Source organism: Homo sapiens, chromosome 7 (genome assembly GCF_000001405.40).
Source record: "Homo sapiens chromosome 7, GRCh38.p14 Primary Assembly".
Classification (NCBI taxonomy): domain Eukaryota; kingdom Metazoa; phylum Chordata; class Mammalia; order Primates; family Hominidae; genus Homo; species Homo sapiens.
Genome location: NC_000007.14, coordinates 83,951,336 through 83,973,877, shown reverse-complemented (window position 1 = coordinate 83,973,877; position 22,542 = coordinate 83,951,336). Strand labels below are relative to the sequence as shown.

General features: G+C 33.8%; 1 protein-coding gene across 3 annotated transcripts in view; it reads left to right on the top strand.

Moving 5' to 3' along the window:
- The window catches only part of SEMA3A (semaphorin 3A), a 536,949-nt gene extending 518,848 nt beyond the window's left edge, over window positions 1-18,101 (top strand). For all 3 annotated transcript variants that reach the window (XM_005250110.4, XM_047419751.1, NM_006080.3), the window contains 2 exons: window positions 10,531-10,673; window positions 12,052-18,101. In XM_005250110.4, the coding sequence (XP_005250167.1) occupies window positions 10,531-10,673; window positions 12,052-12,507 (599 nt within the window). In that variant the 3' untranslated portion in view covers window positions 12,508-18,101. The remainder of the gene's footprint in view (window positions 1-10,530; window positions 10,674-12,051) is intronic.
- Window positions 18,102-22,542: the final 4,441 nt, after the last annotated feature.

Here is a 22,542-nt window from a genome sequence, read left to right as displayed (position 1 = left end):
AACTGTACCATCATGTTAGGTTTCTGAATCTTTGAAATATTTTATATCCTATCTTCTAGTTGAATGCCATCATTGAATTTCACTTTCTAATAGTTTTGCATGCATGCATTACCTTCCTGGCACCTCACAGTAATATGTCCACAGAATCCAATCTTCTTAATTATCTCCATAACTGTCCATCTCAATTTATATCTTGGTTGGCATCAGAATCATTCCAAAATTTTATAAAATGTCTTTGACAATGCCATCTTTATGATCTGTAGAACTGTAAATTTAGTATTTTGTAGCAGTGCTATTATAGTCTGTGTCTTAGCCTCTTCCAGTGATGAATCTGAGCATTTAGCCCCAAGAGGAGTCTCAATATTTGATAGATGAGCATGATGTCAGCCCTAAAAGTAATCCCTACCTTTAATAAATTATCAAATTTCATCAAGTCTCAGATGACATAATATAAAATACACCATTCTTTTATGTACTTTTAAGAAAAAAAAAACTGCTGAAGATGGTCAGTCTACTAGATGATCCCAGCATCAAACTGGGACACCAAATGACTCAGGACTAGACTAAAGGAGAAATAAACTCTTATTCAGATGATAATAGCAAGGAAAATTGTCTGTTTCAATCATAATCATGTCTGGTTAGAAAGAGATTAAAAAATACTCCTTGAACTACAAGGTGGTATTTATGAAGATTTACTTTCCGAATTCACACGAACAGAATGGACCCAAATTTCGGACAGAGACTTTAATTTAAAGAGGTATCATATCAGTAGGATCCCACATATCTGTCAGAAGTAAGAAAGAATTTCTCCTAGAAAAAAGCAACTTCAACTCAGATCAAGAACAATTGTAAGACACATTCTGATATCAGAGATATTAAAGTATAAAGAAGTGTGCGTCTTAGAATCAAATACTTGCAGTATTAACTTCTATGATTTTTATAAACCCTTTTTGAATATTTTCACTGGAGATAGTCATCATGACACTTGTCTTCTGCTGAGGAAAAAAGTCTAATTATTCATATTATATGTGTGCAAGGCAAATGCACAGATAACATGAATAAGAAGAGGTTTGAAATAGCTTGCGTATCATTATTCTCCATTGAAGTCTTTAAGTATGTCATCAGAGATCACCTGTTCATACACCTACAATTTAACTGTTACAAACTAAGATTTTTTTAAAAGCTTGCTGCATTTTTTATTCCAAAAGTTATAAGGATCACATACCATTAAAATACAGGATGGTATTTTCATTATTGTTTATGGAAGGTTTCTGCTTCAGCAAATGGGTGTTTTCCATCTCCCATCATATCTCTTGGGGAAAAGTAAATGAAACATTAAAGTCCATGTTTCCTGATTTTTTAAAGTAAACATTCCTATGGTAATTTTGCTCTGGCATAGAGATTATTTGTGCTTTCTTTTGTAATGCATTTGCTATAAAATCATGAAAATAAAACATACCAGATGTTCAGTATAAACTAAATAAATATTACAGTAGATATCTTCATATTGGTATTGCTTTTTAAGTAAATGAGTTTCAGCCTGCCCTATACGAAGCATATTACCCATGACATCACAAGACATCAAGTACAGTGTTCAATGTAACTATTCAAGTGGCTTCAAAGTTAACTTTGAAGCCACACAGCAAATTTTATTATCATATTTCAAATTAATCATCTCTGAAAGTAAGATACTGGTGACTCTACTGCAAAAAATATTTATGAATAATAAAATTAAAATATATTGGCCCTATGACTGTTTAACCATTTGTATATATATTCATACCTATATCTATGTATATGTATGTGTATATATATGTATGTGTGTGTATATATATACATCCATACACATATATAGACACACACGTATATATGTACACACACACACACACACAGACTAGCCAATTTTAAGTTCACATCTTCAGGAATCTATGGATTCAGGAAAGATTAGAAACTACTTAAAACTGTAAAATTCTAAATGCTATATCCTGGTTAATAATTACTTCCCAGCACCAAAGACATCTTAATTTAGGGCATAAAACAAAGTAGTTTAAAATTAAAATTTTAGCCAGGTGAAAAATTACAAGTTTAAATTTTATTTAAGGTTTCATTGTATTTTTGTACTTGGCAAGCTACATCCACTAACTTCATATTTATTGGTCCTATTTCTAGTAAATGGGTTAAGCACACATGCATGTTCTTAACTACACATTCATGCATTCATTTGTTGGTACATGCACACATACATGCCTGCAAAAACACATTGAATATTTACATAGAATCTAATTGGTGAAAATGTCATACTAGACATTGGAAAGACATTGTACTAGGCATTACCTCAAAAAGTAAACAAAATCACTGTTATATACTTCAGTATATACTGTAGACTTTTATTTGCACTACAATATATGATATTATTAAATAGTTTGTTAGGTTTTTTTTTTTTTTTTGATGGAGTTTCGCTCTTATTGCCCAAGCTGGAGTGCAATAGCACAATCTCTGCAAAATGCAACCTCTGCGTCCCGGGTTCAGGCAATTCTTCTGCCTCAGCCTCCCAAGTAGCTGGGATTACAGGCATGCACTACCATGCCCAGCTAATTTTGTATTTTTCTTTTTCTAGTAGAGATGGAGTTTCATCACGTTGGTCAGGCTGGTTTTGAACTCCTGACCTCAGGTGATCCACCCTCCTCAGCCTCCCAAAGTGCTGGAGTTACAGGTGTGAAACACCACGCCTGCCTGTTAGCCATCTTAATGCTCAGGTTCAAAATATACATGAATGTTAAGAATGAATGAATTTTTTTGTTTTCATTTTATAAATTTTTAAATAGTTTATGTATTTTCAAGAGATATTGACTCATCTTTGAAATGTTTTCCAGCCACTGGAAGTTAAATTAGTCTTTTCTACTGATAGAGCATCTATTGTATTTCTGCAGAAAATCATGTAGAGTCCAATGAGAAAAATCTAAGTAATGCTGTTTATACTTTAAGTTAGGCATTGCTACAGTATTCTGTGTTACCAAGAGTTTATGGGCAACATTTCCTTTCCTCCTATTCTTGACCTTTGACACTGAGTATTATTGAGAGAAATACTAAAATTATAATAAAAACCACTGGAATTTTATTTGTCTTTATGTGGTACAGCAACTAACTGTATTTGCTAAATAACCTAAATAAATATGTAAAATAATTGGCATTCATTTACCCATCTCCTAAATTATGTTTTAGTTTTACATGTATTATTTACAAATTAAACTTACAATAAAGTAGAACATCAAAATTGATAACAAATCAAAATTGAATGAATATGGTTCACAACCTCATCCATCTCTGTCTTCTCTACATAACATCAAATTTCCTAAGATGGTTGCATTATTAACATTTCAATCTTGCGAGACATTTATGGGGTTAAAATGGAGAGTGAATAAATAGAAAGCTGAAATGTGATGCCTTCTGTTTCTGCTATATTGGAAGAGAATCAAATGCTAAATAAGGCCTTTAGCAACATGATATTTCTGGTCAAATGATGGATATCATGACTTTTTTGTTGTTACAAAAGGAAGCAATTTATTTAACTATTTTCTTTCCTCCCATTCTTTCTGGTTTATTAGCTTCATTTCATTTCCATAAATTATCCCACTAAAAGAGGAAATGATTAATTGAAGATTGCTTCCTTAAAAACATTATTTCTTGTCATTAACAGCTGCAACATATTGAAACATTGTGTTATCCAAACACACTGTGGTGCTTTTAAAATAATTTTAATGTTTTGTTGCTCTCAATTATTTTGTTCTAACCATTCAGATGGTTGAACCCGTGGGGAATCATTATGCCAATTTAACAAGGATACCCTTCTTTTCTACTCGCAATTTTCATGACAAAAGTTTGTATGCAAAACAGTTGCTTTCTAAGTGTGAAATTTATTTAGAAATGATTTAAAATGAGATTGCTTTCTTTCTGGAAGCCCACAAAATTATCTATTACATGACATCCTTTAGTGATATAGGTATCCTTGGAGATGTGAGAAGATACTCATATGACTTCTCAGTTCTCTTTCTCTTCTTATTATTCCCTATTTGGAATTTTTGATTTTGGAGTAGACATGATTAGTCATCATTATCTCCCACCCTCTCTCAAGTCAATTTTTATAACATTATTAAACTTAACAAATTTAGAATATTTGAAATGCTTACATCCTCCAGCAGTTCAATAAAGTATTCCATCATAATCAGGGTTATAAACTCTATTTTCTTTTTGATTGATTAAACTTTTATTCATTTCTTTTATATAATTATGATAACTCTATGTCTTGAGGATGTCAAAGTTACATGAGATTTCAGGTTTTAAATTCAATGTGTTACCTGGATTTGCCATTTAGCAAACATCAGCTAAGCGTTTACGATTACCATTCTGCCAGGATTATGAATACACAGTGTGGTGGGCCAGGGGAATAAACCAGATTAAAAATAATTGTAACAAATATAACTACACATACTCTAAGGAGATAACTAAAAAGAGATTTTTTTTGGCAATATAGAAGAGGAAATATTTCTTTGATGGTTGTAGGGGAGTAGGATTCACATTGAGGAGTGTAATTTGTCTTCATTTGGATTCTCAATAAAGGATTTTAAGATTTAATTAGCAGTTGAATCTATCATAATAGCAGTAATAATGATGTCACCTGACATGTTTATGACTATTGCTGTGCCCAGATATTGTGCTAAGACTTTTGTACAAGTATATTTTAAGAACAACAATAGAAAGGGTTATAAAAGACTGGTGCAGTGGCTCATGCCTGTAATCCCAGCACCTTGGGAGGCTGAGGCAGGCGGATCACCTGAGATCAGGAGTTTGAGACAAGCCTGGCCAACATGGTAAAACCCTATCTCTACTAAAAATATAAAAATTAGCCAGCTGTGGTGGCAGGCACCTGTAATCCCAGCTACTCTGGAGGCTGAGGCAGGAGAATTGTTTGAACCTGGGAGGCGGAGGTTGCAGTGAGCCGAGATCGTGCCACTGCACTCCAGCCTGGGTGAGAGAGTGAGACTCTTTCTCCAAAAAAAAAAAAAAAAAAAAAAAGGAAAGAAAAGAAAAGAAACAAAGAAAAAAAAGGGTTATAAAAATATTTCACTGTCTAAAATTTGCTAAATGACCTATCTAACATATAAAAGATGAGTTGCAATTGTTTGGTAAAAATAAAGATAAGATAAAAATAACAACAATGTCACACACATAGAGCAAGAAGACTGAGAGAGAACAAAGACAGACATGCGGCAAGAATATTTACCAAGAAGTTATAAGGGTAAGACATACATTTGTCTAACTGCTTTTTTTCAGTCAATGTAGATGGAAGTATGATCACAAAGTCCATTTCAAAATAAAAGAATCTGTTGTTCACGAGAATCTCAATAATTTCTAGAAAGTAAAACCAGAAAGAAAAATTTTCCAAAAGTAAACATAGAGTAAACACTGTAATGCAATCAATATCATATCAAAAATATTGTGACATCAATACAGTGAATAAGGGAGAATTGACAAAGGTCTCACTCAGCATAGGGTGGGAACACCCTGCCAAAACCAATTTAATAAAATCAACTGTCCGATGTGATTAACATGGTGTGTTCCTTGTAAACTGCTCTCAGATCAACTGGTTTAATCCAGAAAAAGATTTTATATCACTCTTATCCTCAATATATAAGATTTCATATCTTTCAGAAAATATGTACTCACCAATATTTCCTTAGTTGAGTTTTTGTTTATATTGGATAACCATGAATTAAATATTATACTCTCTGAAAAGTACCTAGAGTAGAGCTATACTGTGCTGCCATTTATATGTACGGCTGTTTGCTTTAATAAAGAATCAAATTGATAGCATGCAGTAGGGGGACTATAGCAAATAATAAAGTAGTATATATTTCAAAATAGCTAGAGGATTTTACATGTCACCACAAAGAAATGATAAATGTTTAAAGTGATGGATAAGGTAATTACCCTGATTTGATCATTATACAATGTATACATGTATTGAAATATCACACTGTACCCTATAAATATGTACATATATTATGTGCCAATTATAAACAAAACAAAATTTTTAAAATTGATAGTTTTTTGTTTGTTTGTTTTGAGACTGAGTCTTGCTCTGTCACCCAGGCTAGAGTGCAATGGGTCGATCTTGGCTCACTGCAACCTCCGCTTCCCAGATTCAAGCGCTTCTCCTGCCTCAGCCTCCAGAGTAGCTGGGATTGTAGGTACCCGCCATTATGCCCCACTAATTTTTTGTATTTTTGTAGAAATGGGGTTTCACCATGTTGGCCAGGCCGTTCTTGAACCCTAGACCTCAAGTGATCCGTCCACCTCAGCCTTCCAAAGTGCTGGGATTACAGGCGTGAGCCACCATGCCCGGCAAAATTGACAGTATGTTTGACATCCCAAGAAAAAGTGAAGAACTTAATAAGGTTATAAGATAGGAACCGAAATATTATTTCTGTTCGTACTTTTTTCTGGAGCTGGGGAGAGAAGGGGGCTGGAGGGAGATAGAACACATTGTTAATGGATTTCTAATGTTTCCTATATTGTACAAAATTTATGCCAGTGGTTGCGGTAGAGCACTCAGGAAATGGAAAGGATATTTATTGAATGCCTTCTAATTATTATTTTAAAATATTGATTAGGTATCTGTTTATAAGATGTCAGGTTAGGGGAAATTAACAGAAAATTTTTTACTTCTGAACACCCAAATAGATGGGTGCTTGGCTGAGGCCATTTTAAATAAAAGTTCTGTTCCTAAGTCAGAAGCTGCTGATGGTAGAAACATCCTGTGGCAGAAGACTTAATAGAAATAACTGTATCCAATAAAAATTTACTTTTGGCCGGGCGCGGTGGCTCATGCCTGTAATCCCAGCACTTTGAGAGGCCGAGGCGGGCGAATCACCTGAGGTCGGGAGTTCAAGACCAGCCTAACCAACATGGAGAAACCCTGTCTCTACTAAAAATACAAAATTAGCTGGGCGTGGTGGCGCATGCCTGTAATCCCAGCTACTAGGGAGTCTGAGGCAGGAGAATCGCTTGAACCCGGGAGGCGGAGGTTGCCGTGAGCCGAGATCACGCCATTGCACTCCAGCCTGGGCAACAATAGGGAAACTCCGTCTCAAAAAAAAAAAGAAAAAAAATTTACTTTTAATAATTATTGCTGATCGCAGCAGAACCTAACAAAATATAAAATAGGAGAATCTTAAACCAAAGAAATACAATAGTATCGCTGTATCTTGATCGTGATTGATAGTTAACATGACAGGGCTTTTAGCCTCACCGGTCACTAGCTGGATGATTCTGTTTCTTTTTGTTGGACAAAAAGGGGAAAGAAAGGGTAAACTTGGGAAATAATGAGACTTTGAGGTACTGGCAAGAGTAGTTATCAAAGCAAACTTACTAAGGGCACCAAGCTCATAAACCAAATTAACCTATTGTGGTTCTTGCCTTATTTAGGTGAGAAAGTACCTGAATATCAGAATGTTTCTTGAAGAGAGTGAAATATTAGTATATTAAACTAAAAACAATTTGTTATCATAATTGCTAAATCAAACACCATCTTATAGTCTATAAGTCTATAAGACTATAGTCTATAGTCTAGATTCCACTATGAAGAAGTAGCAGATCAAATGAAATAATTTTTTAATAAAAGAATATTTTCTATTGAAAGAACTATTTTTACATGTTTTCTGGTACATTGGAAAAAGCTTGCCACCACCAGAGGATGTCCTGAAGAGGAAATGAAAACTGAGCAGTTACCTAGAACTACAAGAAAGATTACCAGAAAATTATCTCTGTGGACTAACTAGAATGATTAAATTAGTTAGAAAGAAGACAACTAAGTGATTTTTTTTTAATGCACCCATTGGTGGCTGGGCGCGGTGGCTCACACCTGTAATCCCAGCACTTTGGGAGGCTGAGGTGGGCGGATCACGAGGTCAGGAGATCGAGACCATCCTGGCTAACACGTTGAAACCCTGCCTCTATTAAAATACGAAAAACTAGCTGGGCGTGGTGGCAGGCACCTGTAGTCCCAGCTACTTGGGAGGCTGAGGCAGGAGAATGGCATGAACCCGGGAGGCGGAGCTTGCAGTGAGCCGAGATCGCACCACTGAACTCCAGCCTGGGAGACAGAGTAAGACTCCGTCTCAAAAAAAAAAAAAAAAAAAAAAAAAAAAAAAATATATATATATATATATATATATATATATATATATATATGCACCCATTGGTGTTACATTGGTATTGAAACACTTTTATTTTCTATTATACTAGTTACGTGACTCCTCTTATCTGAGTCAATTAATGTATTGAAGGATTTATATGAAATTCTATCTTTGAGAGTAGTAATTTATACCATAGTTTTCTTTAGTAGCTTTAGCAGATTATGCAAGAGACAAGTCAGTTGCAGTTATAAATTTCTACCTGGGAAAATAGACCTAGGAGACATGGCTGTTGATAAAGGAGATGCTGGCAGATCACTGGGTTGTTTGTTTCTAAATCCAGTGGATTTTTCTATATTTTGATGTCATATATAATTCATTCATATATAGAGATTGAATGAAAGGTCTCCTCCTAAAAGTATTTCTTAATAAAGAAAAGTTTAAACGGGCCGGACGCGGTGGCTCATGCCTGTAATCCCAGCACTTTGGGAGGCCGAGGCGGGCGGATCACGAGGTCAGGAGATCGGGACCATGCTGGCTAAAATGGCGAAACCCCATCTCTACTAAAAATACAAAAAAAAAAAAATACAAAAAAGTTTAAATCACAGAACAGTTAGAAAAAAAAGTATTCAATGTAAATAGCATTAACTTCTGTGACAATGCATTCTAATTATTCAGGTAGCTCCTGAATTACAGATTTTCCAGCCCCTGTTGGCCATAGCAATTAAATTCACCTGTATCCCAGGAAGCAGCTATCTTACAAATGAGTATAGCAACATGTTCCATATGCATTCAATTCAAGACGCACTAATAATCTCAGAGGGGAAAAAAAAACAGCCTATACAATATAGATATTGGCACATGAAGATATGCATGTCCAATTTTTTTTAAATGTGACTTGGAATCAGTTAAATATTATTTCTTTACATTGCAATCATTTCTGATTTATTTTCCTATTTCCAGGGCATTGATCTTTTCAATAAGAGACAGATAATTCCCAATATTGGAAGAGTTTTGTTTCACACCTAGGGCATTTGAGAAACAGGCACTGAGGTTGACACCTCTGTAGACAGCAATTGAAGGTAGAAGGTGGAATGAAGTAGGTAGGGTATGATGAGGGTAGGAGATGATAGACACAGGCCTTGTACAGGGATTGTATGGGAGTAGCATTTTTGAAGGCTTTAAACCTAGTGAGAGCAAATCATCAGCTATGACAGTCAAAGGTATTCAGTTGATTATGACAAGAGTAAAACTGTCAAAGTGATGACAAAAAAGGGGAAAACATTTTTTAAATTAAAAATCTAGCTGAGTTTGAAGTAGAGAGCAAAAATTTTTCATCTGTCTACACTGTCAGCTTTCTGTGCATGTAAAACATATTTATTATTTTCTAAATTAATTTAATGAGTTTCAGATTGTACAGGATGTCATAATGGAAACAGGATTATGCAAGATAAGAAGGAGTTTTGTTCTCTAAATGAGTTTTACCTAGACTCCCTGTGTTGTACTTTTGATCTGAGCTGTGTTTCATTTACCACATTGGAGGAGGTTACATAAAGGGTAAAATAATAGAAACTTAATCAGGAAACAGGTTTTCTTTTTGCTGCATTTTATTATGTACTTTTGCCTTATTCCATAGCCTAATTCCTGAAAATAATGAAAGATGTGTCATTTTAAAATAAGAACAATTGAAACCACATTGCATTATAACTATGCATCTGTTTTTCAAAGCCATCCCTAACTTTTCACACCAATTGATCTTCAGAACAAACTTGTAGATTATTTAGGAATTATTGGTGGATAGTATAAACTTCCTGCACTCTACCTTCTGTAAAATGCTAGATAAATATTAGTTGGCAAATTTAATTTTACAGATAAAAAATAAACACACAGGCAAAATAATTTCTCTGAAATACATCCTTGTTTCCAAAAACTTATTCCAATAACTTTTTGTGTTACAGAATAATATAATACAAACTGGCCCTATTAGTCCAAGCACAGAGTTTTGCAGTGAAAATAATTTCCTGTAGAGTATTTATCATGACATATAAAGACGTATAGTTATGCTACACACATGATTGATTTTGTAAATGTAATGCCATTTTCTGGTAGACAAATCTCCGTCTATGTTTTATATAACCCATACCAAAATGATTAGTCGATTTAGGTAGGCATTTGGGCTCTGAAACCTTACATCACTGACATTTCTGTCATCCTCAATCAATGTGAAACAACTTCCAACTTGGCAATAACTTGTCTCCTGAATTTCCAAATAAAAACTTTGGAAAGTTGAAATTACTTCTCTAATATTTTCTCATTGCATTTTCTCATCACTGGCCAGATAATCACCATGGCCACAGCCCTGAAGAGAGAATCATCTATGGTGTAGAGAATAGTAGCACATTTTTGGAATGCAGTCCGAAGTCGCAGAGAGCGCTGGTCTATTGGCAATTCCAGAGGCGAAATGAAGAGCGAAAAGAAGAGGTACAGGAATGAAACTGACTGGATCATTTATATCTAAGATACACTGTTAAATGTAATCCTTGTATTTTTCACTTGAGGAAAGAAAAAGCACTGAGAATGCTTATCCTCTTCTGAACCAATCAATCGCTCATTCATTGAACAAGTGTTTAGTGCAGACTGATGACGTGACAGACTTTGTACTATGAATTAGAGAAACAAAGGTAACCTGGTAAGAGTTTCTGCCCCAGAAGCAGTTTGGGGATACATATTAGACTCCCCTTATTTCTTACTGTGTTTATCTACAAAGAAATTGTGTTATTTATATTTGTGCACAAATAAAAAAAAACCTCCTACTAATTTTAAATTTTGTTCAATTAATTATATTATCAAAATCTGTTTTTCTTTATCCATTACCTTCCTCCTTAAATGGGGAAGGGAGGTTGGGAAAAGATAGTAGTAGATGTAGGGTGATGGATTTAAGGCTGCACTATAAGCTCTGATATCAACTATTGATGCAGGATGAGGCAGATCTCCCTGCTCATTTGATCCATTTATAATTCCATAAGAGTAAAGAATTGTATACAGAAAATCTTAGTGAGCACTACGAGCCTTTAAAACTTTTTAACAGCCTTAAATAAGCATAAACAGATTATTGAGTTGATTAATAAAATGTATTATATGCAGACGATTTTACAAACATAATATGATGTTAAAGGTAAAAACTCTTCCATTATCTTTTGACATTTTAATCAGTCTTAAAACTATATAATCCCATCATAAAATGCAAGATTGATTTCATGCATTACCAGGTGAGGCTTTTTGAGACCTCTATTGTAAACTGTATTCAAAATAAAAGTGAGGTTACAAATATTCAAAAATATGGTCTCATATATATTCCCATTCAAGACCAACTAAATGAAATAAATAATTAGTAAGCATGAAATGTTCTGCTTGTTCAACTTCTATTTTTTTAAAATTTAATTTTTGGAAATCTTATTATAAATTCATTCTAATGCCCCGTATCTTTCTAGTATCATGGTTCTGTAGTTCTAATTTCAATATTTAATGTTAACTTTATCCTATATTTATATACCTACTTTCAAATGTATAAAGTATCTTTGCTCTTTCCTCCAGTTACCTTGAATATTTTAAATTATTATAAGAAATTCTATTAAAACAGTAATATAACCAATACTTTCCAATACATCTTAAAAACAATTGACAGATATTATAATTCTCCTAATGGGAAAATGCTATCACTTCTCTTAAATTAAAAATTTTTATTAACTGTTAAAATGTGCCTCAACACATAATCTAAAGTTTTACAGACACGGAGTTTCAGAGCTTCTATTTCTTTTAAATATGTATATTTTACACTGCCTTTTTTTTAACCTGCTAGATCAGAGTGGATGATCATATCATCAGGACAGATCAAGGCCTTCTGCTACGTAGTCTACAACAGAAGGATTCAGGCAATTACCTCTGCCATGCGGTGGAACATGGGTTCATACAAACTCTTCTTAAGGTAACCCTGGAAGTCATTGACACAGAGCATTTGGAAGAACTTCTTCATAAAGATGATGATGGAGATGGCTCTAAGACCAAAGAAATGTCCAATAGCATGACACCTAGCCAGAAGGTCTGGTACAGAGACTTCATGCAGCTCATCAACCACCCCAATCTCAACACAATGGATGAGTTCTGTGAACAAGTTTGGAAAAGGGACCGAAAACAACGTCGGCAAAGGCCAGGACATACCCCAGGGAACAGTAACAAATGGAAGCACTTACAAGAAAATAAGAAAGGTAGAAACAGGAGGACCCACGAATTTGAGAGGGCACCCAGGAGTGTCTGAGCTGCATTACCTCTAGAAACCTCAAACAAGTAGAAACTTGCCTAGACAATAACTGGAAAAACAAATGCAATATACATGAACTTTTTTCATGGCATTATGTGGATGTTTACAATGGTGGGAAATTCAGCTGAGTTCCACCAATTATAAATTAAATCCATGAGTAACTTTCCTAATAGGCTTTTTTTCCTAATACCACCACCTAACAGAGAACACAGGTGAATGCAGATGTTCACTTTAGCAGACTTAATGTTTCCTATGAGATTTCACTGTACAGGTTTGTCTTTCTTCTTTGCCTGAGAAATAAAAATGTCATTTGCCATATTGCCATCTAAAGGAGAAAAACTGCATCAGCAAAGCCATTGTATTGAACTAAAAGTTTAAAATGAACTGCATGGATTTACTAAGCTGATGAATATTCCAAAACGTGGTTGGATTCAAGGATATATTTTGTCTACCGGCCCTCATGTTTGTATGTACTTGAGGAGTAAAATGAGTAAAATGATACTGAATGAAATGTTCTGTGGAAATATTAAAAAAAAAAAAAAACATAAGCCATCCATCATCCAGAAGAAAAATGGAATACACTGATCTACTACTGATGTCTTCTTTCAGCTTTGATCTAAAGATGTATTTTATTAAAACTATAATTTAAATGTACCATGAAAAATATGCAGTAAAAATTAGTTGTTTTCTAAGCTAGAGTAGGATTTGTCTTACAATTATTGTGCTATGTAGTTTTTGTTTTAAAAATTCCAATGGTGTGCTGCTTTCTTTGGACATTTTATTTTCAATTCTATAAGAGGGATAGATGACATTGTTCTAGAAACACATATACATCATTAAGAGTGAATCTCTAAAACCAGGATATAAATTATGCTTTATTTCTCTGAGAAAATCAAACAAATGGAAGCTGTTCACACCTCCCCTTCTTTAAGCATTATCTAAATTAATTTTTACTTGCATAATGTTCTTAGAAAAAAAAACAGAACATTTAAGCAGGAAAAAAGGAAGAAACAAGTTGATTTTTAAGTGCATTTTACTATAATGAATCAATGAAGGGAAAAGGAACTGCATATTTCATGAAAATAATAAGCATTGTCTTAATATACTGTTAATAGAAAATGTGTCTTAATTCCGTGCTTGAATCCCTGCATGATATTTGAGACTAAGATCTCTCTTATGATTCTACCAAGAATTATATCTGTGTCACTTAATTTTTTTAAAAGAGAGAGATCAATAACTATTCAGAGCAACATGTTAAAGGCAAAGTTTCCAATCATTTACATCTGTATCAGGTGCCTCTTACCTTTCCTTATTTAAGACAATTATTTGTACAAGAAACACATGACTCTTTTCATATCAATGGGAGGGACTTTTCTACAAAGTATTTTCCAGGATGCAACCCACATTTAAACAATGTAAAATTCTTTGTTTCCTGCAACAACTTACAAAATAAGGTAAAAGACTAAAATTCAAGATTTGCTTCCTTCATTGTCCTAAGACGATTCGTTGAGAATCACTGACTTTGAGATATTTAAAACTTTCAGCATTATACTGTGGTTTCTTTTGCACTGCACTCACCTATTCAGGACTCCTCCCCCAGGTTCCTCATCATGCACAAAAATGCAAAGAAAACATCTTATTAGTAATTAATGAAGCAACATTGAAATTCTAACTCTAGCTGTCTTTGGATTCTAATTAACTCAGCATCAATTTCTCACCTCAGACTACAGTGAATTTTTATTTCCTATCAGCTGAAATATTTCACAGATGGAAGCTCATGTTTCAGTTTTAATGACTGCCTTGAATAAACAAGTTGTTGCCACTTGTTTCAAACAAAAGCCTAAAAATAATCTACATTCAATTTTAGGCTCCATTGACTAATATGGTGTTGCTTTTGGAAGTACTGTATATCCTCACATGGAAGCCAAATTGTTAAATTATTTGAAGGACACACCACTGTACAGAAAGTAGTGTTTCAAATATAAATCGAAGAACAAAGAGTGCTCCAAAAAATAGGTCATTCTTTTATTTTCATAAAGTATCTAAACTGTACTAACATTCAGTGTTGTGTTTCATTCTAAATTTGCAGCTGAAATAAATTTATTTGCGATAGCAGAAATATCTTATTATTCATCCTCAGAAATAAAGGATTTGAAGGGATAGAGATTATATGATAAATTTATAGAAGACTTTCAGAATTTGAATGCATTTTGTTTAGTGTTATGAAATGACAATAGAAAAAAGTCTCGACTTCAATTAAAAGTTACACAAACAAACAAATCTACAGGCATGTCTTTATATACCATCAGGTCTAAGTTTTCAAAGAAAATTGTAGATATAACTTGCAGATAACTCATTACAGTCATAATCTCTGCCCATGTGTATTGAGAGGGGGCAGTTTGCACGAAAAAGAATTATTGGCCCATTTAATAATTCAGCTTTAAATAGACTTTGTCATATGCATGAATCATCAGAGATGAAACTGTTTGAGAGACTCATGTGACCTTACGAAAATTACAACAGCAGTCTTAAAGTATGAAAAAGATGCATCACAGCAGAGACATTATGGCCCAGTTGATATCAAATGTAAAATGTAAATGCATGTAAATGCACACTTCATTTTATGTATTATTTAGTAATTTGCAGTGGTATGTGTTTAATATTTTTGCTACCTACACATTAGGCAAAAAAAAGATGTAAATAATTTGGGAGAAAAAGAGGAAGAACAGTGTAAAATAAAACTTTCTATAAGTACTCCATTTCAATGTGTTCAACATCATCCTAAAAGGCAAGATTTTCCCACGCAGGTGACAAGGTGGTTTATGTACTATTTAAGGGCGGAAGGTGCGTGCCCGTTCAATAAGCATGTTTTTTGCCAGGTAGGAAATATGTTCCATATCTTTACTTATCATTGCATTTCAGATGGGAACTAGAAAAACTGGAGAGAAAAATGTAATGAAACTGCTGCTGTAAATTATTCCTTTTAGCATGTATTCACTTGCTAAATACACATTTCTTCAAAATATTTGAATTCAGATGTCTTTACTGTTCCCTATAACATATGGTGTTAAGGAACATAAGCTCATAAAATGTTGAGAACCAGAGTCAGGTTGCTACATAATTAGCTAACAGATTTCTTCATTGTAGTCATCTGTAAACTGGGTTCTATATTTATGGTGATGATGTGAATTTTTATGCCCTTTAAATTAAGTATTGTTCTTTTTAATGTCATACCTAAAAAGGAAATGTAGGGATAAATTTTTATAATGTGTCATTTTCATAATCAGTTTGGTTTTATTCAGGATCCACAAAGATGTCAGATGACTGTTATTGAAATTGCTTATCTTAAAGGTCACAGACAAGCATTTTATTAATATGGAGCCACTAGTATAATATGTTAAAATCTTTGTTTTATTAGCTCATTTTAAAACACAATTTCCATTCAATTTAATGAAACTGTATCAGGTTTCATGGTTTCAAAGACAGACTTAAATAGGATTCAACACCCCCGTATCGTGTAATAACATGTTAAACTGGTCTAACACCAAGGACATCTATACTTTTAACTTGATTTGTAATAATTATTTGAAGTCAATGTTAATGTTTGCAAATACATGTTTCCATAAAGAAGAAAACATTATTTTTCAAAAATCTGTAAAATCTCATTAGTTTGTTTGATCTCTAAAAATTTTCTTAAACTAGTTAATTAAATGAACATAATTTTTCAAGTTAATAAATTAAGAAAATATCTAAATGAAAGAGAGAATAAAATCAGCATATGTGACAGCCCATATAGTAAGGACAGTTTCGCAATCAACGTAACCAAGGAAAACAGCTTTGTTATCATTTCAAACATGCAGGCACACACAGGCAGAGGCAAAGCTGGAACCAAACCAAACAAAAAGAAGATTTTGAATATTAAAAAACTGGGCCTCTAGACACTTTGCCTTTTAGAACCAGCTTCCTACACGTTCAAGTAAATTCCACTGATAGATCTTGACTATCTACAATGTGCTAGGTATTATGTTAGGTGATGAGGACACTAAAGTGAATAAGACATAACCCTTGTTCTCAAAGAGCTCACAATGAAATTAAGGAAACAGAGCGAGATGACTTATCATCATCTAATCCAGCAAGTCTTTCCTAATCCTCCCATCCCTAGTTCAAGCTAGGGACCTTCTCTATGCTAAACCTGTGCCTTGTATATACCTTTTATTGTCACACTACCCCAATGTGTGATTTATTTGTTTATGTTTCCATCTCCATTTCTAGACTGTGAGCTCCTTGAGGGCAGGATTTGTATCTAATTGATCTCTGTCCCCAGTGTCTAGCATGATGCCTGGCACAAAGAGGGAGCCCAATAAATCACTGTTGAAAAGAACCAAGTTACGATATGACAATTGCCAAATACAAGCTCACAATAAGAGCGGTATGGATCAAAGAAAAAAAAAAGGAGGAATTAACTTGTGGAGAGAGATCATGGGGTGCTTCAGAGAATAAGTGACTTTCCAGCTGTGAATCAGTCAGATATGCCTAGATGAAGAAACAAAATGGCAATCTGAGTAGAAGAAATAAGGAGAAAGGAGGAGAGGTGTGAAAAAAAGTCCTTTTTCTGAGAACAAGCATTCAAACAGATAAAACACAGGTTTCATAAAGAAAAGTTAAATGTCCCACTACTATGAGTCAAAATGGTGCATTTGCTTTTTCCTGGGTTTTGATTTATTGCCCTCTGTTTGTACCCCACATTCGCATCCTTGGCACAGACTGTCATATGTCACACATTCAGCCTCCTACACTTCCACCCCACAATCTCTTTACCTTCCTTCTTAATGTTCACCTCATTTATCTTTACTCAGCTAAAGTCATAGCACTAGACAGTGTTCCCACAACCGTCTTCAAACTCATCTGTATTTCATAATCTCTCCTCTAGTTCAAACCAGCACAGGTCAGCTGAAACTCTGAATTCTACAAATAAATATTTAGAGGAAGCTAACTTCATCAGACACTCCCCTATGCTCTCAGTTCAAACGAAAGTTTCTGTTACATTTCACCTACCTACAGCCTTACCTCACTCAGCTAGCATTAGACTACTCAGCAATGAGTTCCAACATTGCCTTGCTAAAAAGCAAGGTGGCTCACAAACAAGACTTCAGCAAAGATAGCATTAAAATGTGAAGTCTGCATTTGTTCAAGGCATACCTTAGATGGAGTAATTCATGGCCAAGCAATGCTGCAGGTGTGGTCAGCACATGTAGTTGATAGGCAGACTCCTATTATTTTAAACAAACAAACCAAAAAAGTTTTTTAAAAAATGAGACCCACCTTCATCTTGAATATGTCAACCCCGCACCACCGTTGTATTAATCTGTCATGTTTTTCTCATATAACAAAAGAATGGATTTTCTTTCTTTTAATCTAAACACTATACTTGTATATACAATGTTTATTTATATAGGACCTAAGCAAAAGTTTTTATAGATGTGTTCATGTCATCACAATTCAGGTAATGTGAAGGCTCAACTTCCGTCTTCTCTCTTTGTAAATCTCACTGAAGCATTAGATCTCAAGTAAATACATTTGTAAAATATCCATGTCATTTGTGTAGCTCAGTTCTTAATGTTTTGTTTGTTTTGTTGATAACTAATTCCAGAGAAGCTTAAACATTTTTAGACAAAGTTTTCATCTAAAATCAAACAGCCACATCAGGAATTTTTTAAATACACCACAATTTTTAGGGATTTTCATCCTTCAAAAAAGATTGACAGTTTTATTAGCCCTCAAATATTTGTATTTTACTCATGCAGTATTTTAAATTGCTGATAAATGTGAAAAACTCAGTTTAAGTCTGGGTCTGTGTATGCCATTCAATATATTCCATTTAAATTTAGATACTGATGAATAATGGTCTAGCTAAGTATCCAATTTGCATTGTTGCCATCTACTAATTTCAGAATCATTGCTCATTTTCTTCCTTGCAGAACTTTTGACCCTAATAGCATGCCTGTTGAAATTATTTTTATTGTATTTGCCTTCAGAAGTGGTTTGAATTATTACCCAATGAATATTAGCATCACAAAAATAATCTGTTATCCATATGGAAAAGAATACTGTCAAGGAGTTTATTGAATTCTTTAAATATTTACTCAAAACATAAGAGAATACTTATCCCAGGATTATTCTATTTTGATCAAAACAATTATGTAGTCATTAGTCATTAACTTTAGAAACATTACATTGTTTGGGTTTCTTCTTTAACTTCCTGACCCCTCTAGAATCCAAAACAAAAACAAACAAACAAAAAATCAACAAGTACTCTAGATGGCAAAATCACTTATCATTCAAAAGGTAGCATGTCCTCTTCCCCTCAGTGAAGATTGGAATGTAATTTGCAACTGTGACCATACTGGTCTTCTTCTTCTAATCTCCTCTTGGTCCTGAGACAATGTTTCTAAAAATTATGTCATATCAGGAAGCTCTATATTCATTATTGAGAAGTAATATTCTTGAACTTCTAGAAGGAAATATTTATATAATTTATAAAATGTATATCAATAAGCCCAAAGCAGAAACTCTTTGTAATACACTGCACTGTATTAATTTTAATTCAATAATATAATATTAAATAAAAACATAAGCAGACGTATGGAAGCATTAATACATCCTAAACTGCTAAAGTTACTGCCTGGTGCTAGTAACGTTACATTTTTTATATTCATTGTGTTTTTAGATATTATATTCACTACGTATTTTTATATTAATTGTGTTTTTAGATATTATAGTCTAAATATTTTTATGATATCACGTGGGCCTTTTCATATGAAGTAGGACACACAGCCTGAGGATCTGGCACAACATACTGTACTTGAGTTTTCTATGGTGAGTGAGAATTAGCCTTTGACTTTGAGAAACTCACAATCTATTGAAGAACAGGAAACACAACATTTAACATGATGTGTCATACAATGGATATAGTAATAGTCGTAGTAGTCATATTAGTAATGATAGTAATATCAAGTGTTTACAACATACTGTTTTCTTTATCAAGTGCTTTATTTGTATTACTTTAATTATTAAAACAACTCAAAAAATCCTATTTTATCCTTATTATATCAATAAAGAAACTGAAGTACAGAGTGGTTGAATAACTAACTGCTCAATTCACATGATCAAAAGCGATAGACATAAAGTTCTAATTCAAGTATGATTTACGATTACCTGTGTTTCCAGAAAGATAACTAGTTAATGTAAATATAATTTAAGATGCCATGCTGTATGGAAATAGAGAAAAAGGATGTCAAAGACTCTTAGAAAATGAAGAAGAGAATGGTGAATGAGTTGACCTAGAAATAAGGGAACATCTCTTTCACTAAGAGAGGAGAGACAATCAAATAGGAAATCAGCAGCACAGTTAAAAACAGGTTTTGGAGACCTGCAAACCTGGGTTGAATACCTGCTATACCCATGTACTTAGTGGTGTCTTTGAGTATTGATTTATTTCTACTTCTCTGGGCCTCAGTTCTCCCCTGTATAAGATTTTAATATATCAGTTCTTCCATCTATATGAGATAAATGATAGAAAACGTATTCACAGAATTGGGGTAATAGTTAACATTGACATATAATGTTTACTGCTAACACTAATTATTTACTCACTTTTCTTGATTTCCGTCCTGATAATGATGAGAACATGATGTTCTTTCTCATTTCCAAATAAAATGTTTTTTATTATATCTATTACCACCTTCTGTAGATCTTTAGCCCTCTACTTTCTGTCATTAATTTCTCTTGCTTCCCATTTTAAAGTAGTAGTTGTACAAAATAGCAATAATCTCCCTTGGCCATGTCTTTCATGTGAGCACTTTTCTACATCTTACCTTTGCCCATAAAAATTTGCAAAAGAAATTCTAAATGACTCCTAATCAAAGATAACAGATGTTTGACTTTTTATTCTCTAAAAAAACACTACATTAAGATATCAGCACTTTTAATTTCCAACCATGTTAACTTTTCATTGCAAATTTTGGGGCTACTGTCTGCCATCATGATCTCTAAGAATGCATTTTAGAGTAAATTAGTCAATTTTTTTTTTTTTTTTTTGAGATGGAGTCTCACTCTGTCGCCCAGGCTGGAGTGCAGTGGCAAGATCTTGGCTTACTGTAAGCTCCGCCTCCCGGGTTCGCGCCATTCTCCTGCCTCAGACTCCCGAGTAGCTGGGACTACAGGTGCCCGCCACCACGCCGGGCTAATTTTTTGTATTTTTAGTAGAGACGGGGGTTCACCGTGTTAGCCATGATGGTCTCGATCTCCTGACCTCGTGATCTGCCCGCCTCGGCCTCCCAAAGTGCTGGGATTACAGGCGTGAGCCACCGCGCCCGGCCAATTATTTTTTACTAAGTAATCACCTGTTTAATTCTTTTAATATACAGTTTTCAAAGTTAGCATTTTCCAGCTCGAAAAGGAGACAGTTTTCTATGCATTACCTAATAAAATGTCTTCCAGAAGACAAAATGATTATTTTTATATAGACTCAATGAAATAAACTATATGATATTAAGCGTGTTTTCATATATGAAAAGGTTTGAGACACAGTCTAAGCAATTGCAAGTGCTGATGAACTTTCAAAAATAAAATCAAACTTAAAAAATATATATTGCTGAAAAAATTCTATGTATTGTAATAATATATAATTCACAGGAAGACAATGTGAGCAGAGGCATTTATTCATGGTCTCTAAAGAACACATGAAAAGACCACTACCATAATTCACACCTAAAAAGATGATAATTTATGCAAAATCATTCCCTTTAAAAAGTAGAGATGAAAAGAGACGTGACACCTCAAAACCCTGCCAAGCTAGGGATAAACATAAGAAATAAACCATATGTGTTGTGGGAGGCAAATCCACAAAGAAACTGTTAGGCAAAAATAAAACCAAACTATGACATGATCCAGATGTTCACTAATATAAAGGCCTCAGCAAAATCTGATGGACTTCAAGGTCTGGTAGGAAAGGATAAAAGTTCCAAAAGTTCCAAATGTGTGAACACTGATTGGCTTCAATTATTTGGTAATCTTTTTTAAATAATTGCTTTTGTTTGAAGTATTGTCGTCTTTAAGCTTTAACTATTTTGGAAATTGATAAAAAGCAGCACAAAAAGATGAAACAAAAGTGCAGGCTTTGAAGTACAATCATTTTGTTCATAGTAACTTCAAGAGACCATTTGGGCTGGCCCCCAGAAAAGACAATTGTATACATTAGAGTTTAGACAATCTGGAAGGGAGAAAAAGGGTAAGGCCTGTACACAAATATTTTATACTGTCCATAACTTGAAAGAGAATTAATTAAAAAACCCAATAGGCTATACTAAGTGTGTATAAATATAGTCATGGTAGATAGCACTGAGTATAATTTTCAGATAAAATTTGAACTAAGATTTCTTTTATGCATTGAGTACAGATGCACCATTTATACATATCTAGTTCTAGGCATATCTAAATTTCTGAGTGCTTCTTAGCAGTCGTCTTATGTTTAAATGTCTTTCATTGAATACAACACAGTTCAGTTTATATACTCAACTTTCATTTATTAGTCACATGATGCTAAAATATTTAATACAATATTAGGAGATTGAATTGGAAAGTGCTCAAAAACTTTAGAAAATGAAGACATAATGAGCCAGAAAAATCTCAATGCTGGGAGGGTTGAAAGAGAGAATAGGGGCTCAAAAAAGCAAGGAAAGAAAATGCATTGATTTTAAAAGGAAGTAACAGCATAAAAAGAACAAAGATATCATCTCTTTTATTAACAGTGCAAATGCTTGGGTTACTGTCTTGTTCCTTTTTTATCCTTATGCAGATCCTAATCTTATGTGCTATTGATCTCTCTTTAGATTGTCTAACATGGGTAACCATCCACTAAGTCCAGCATACTCAAAACATGTGACCAAAGTGTGGAATATGGACATTTCTGTCACCTGGGAGTTCATGAGAAATACGGATACATAAGACCCACACGAGACCTACAGAATCAAA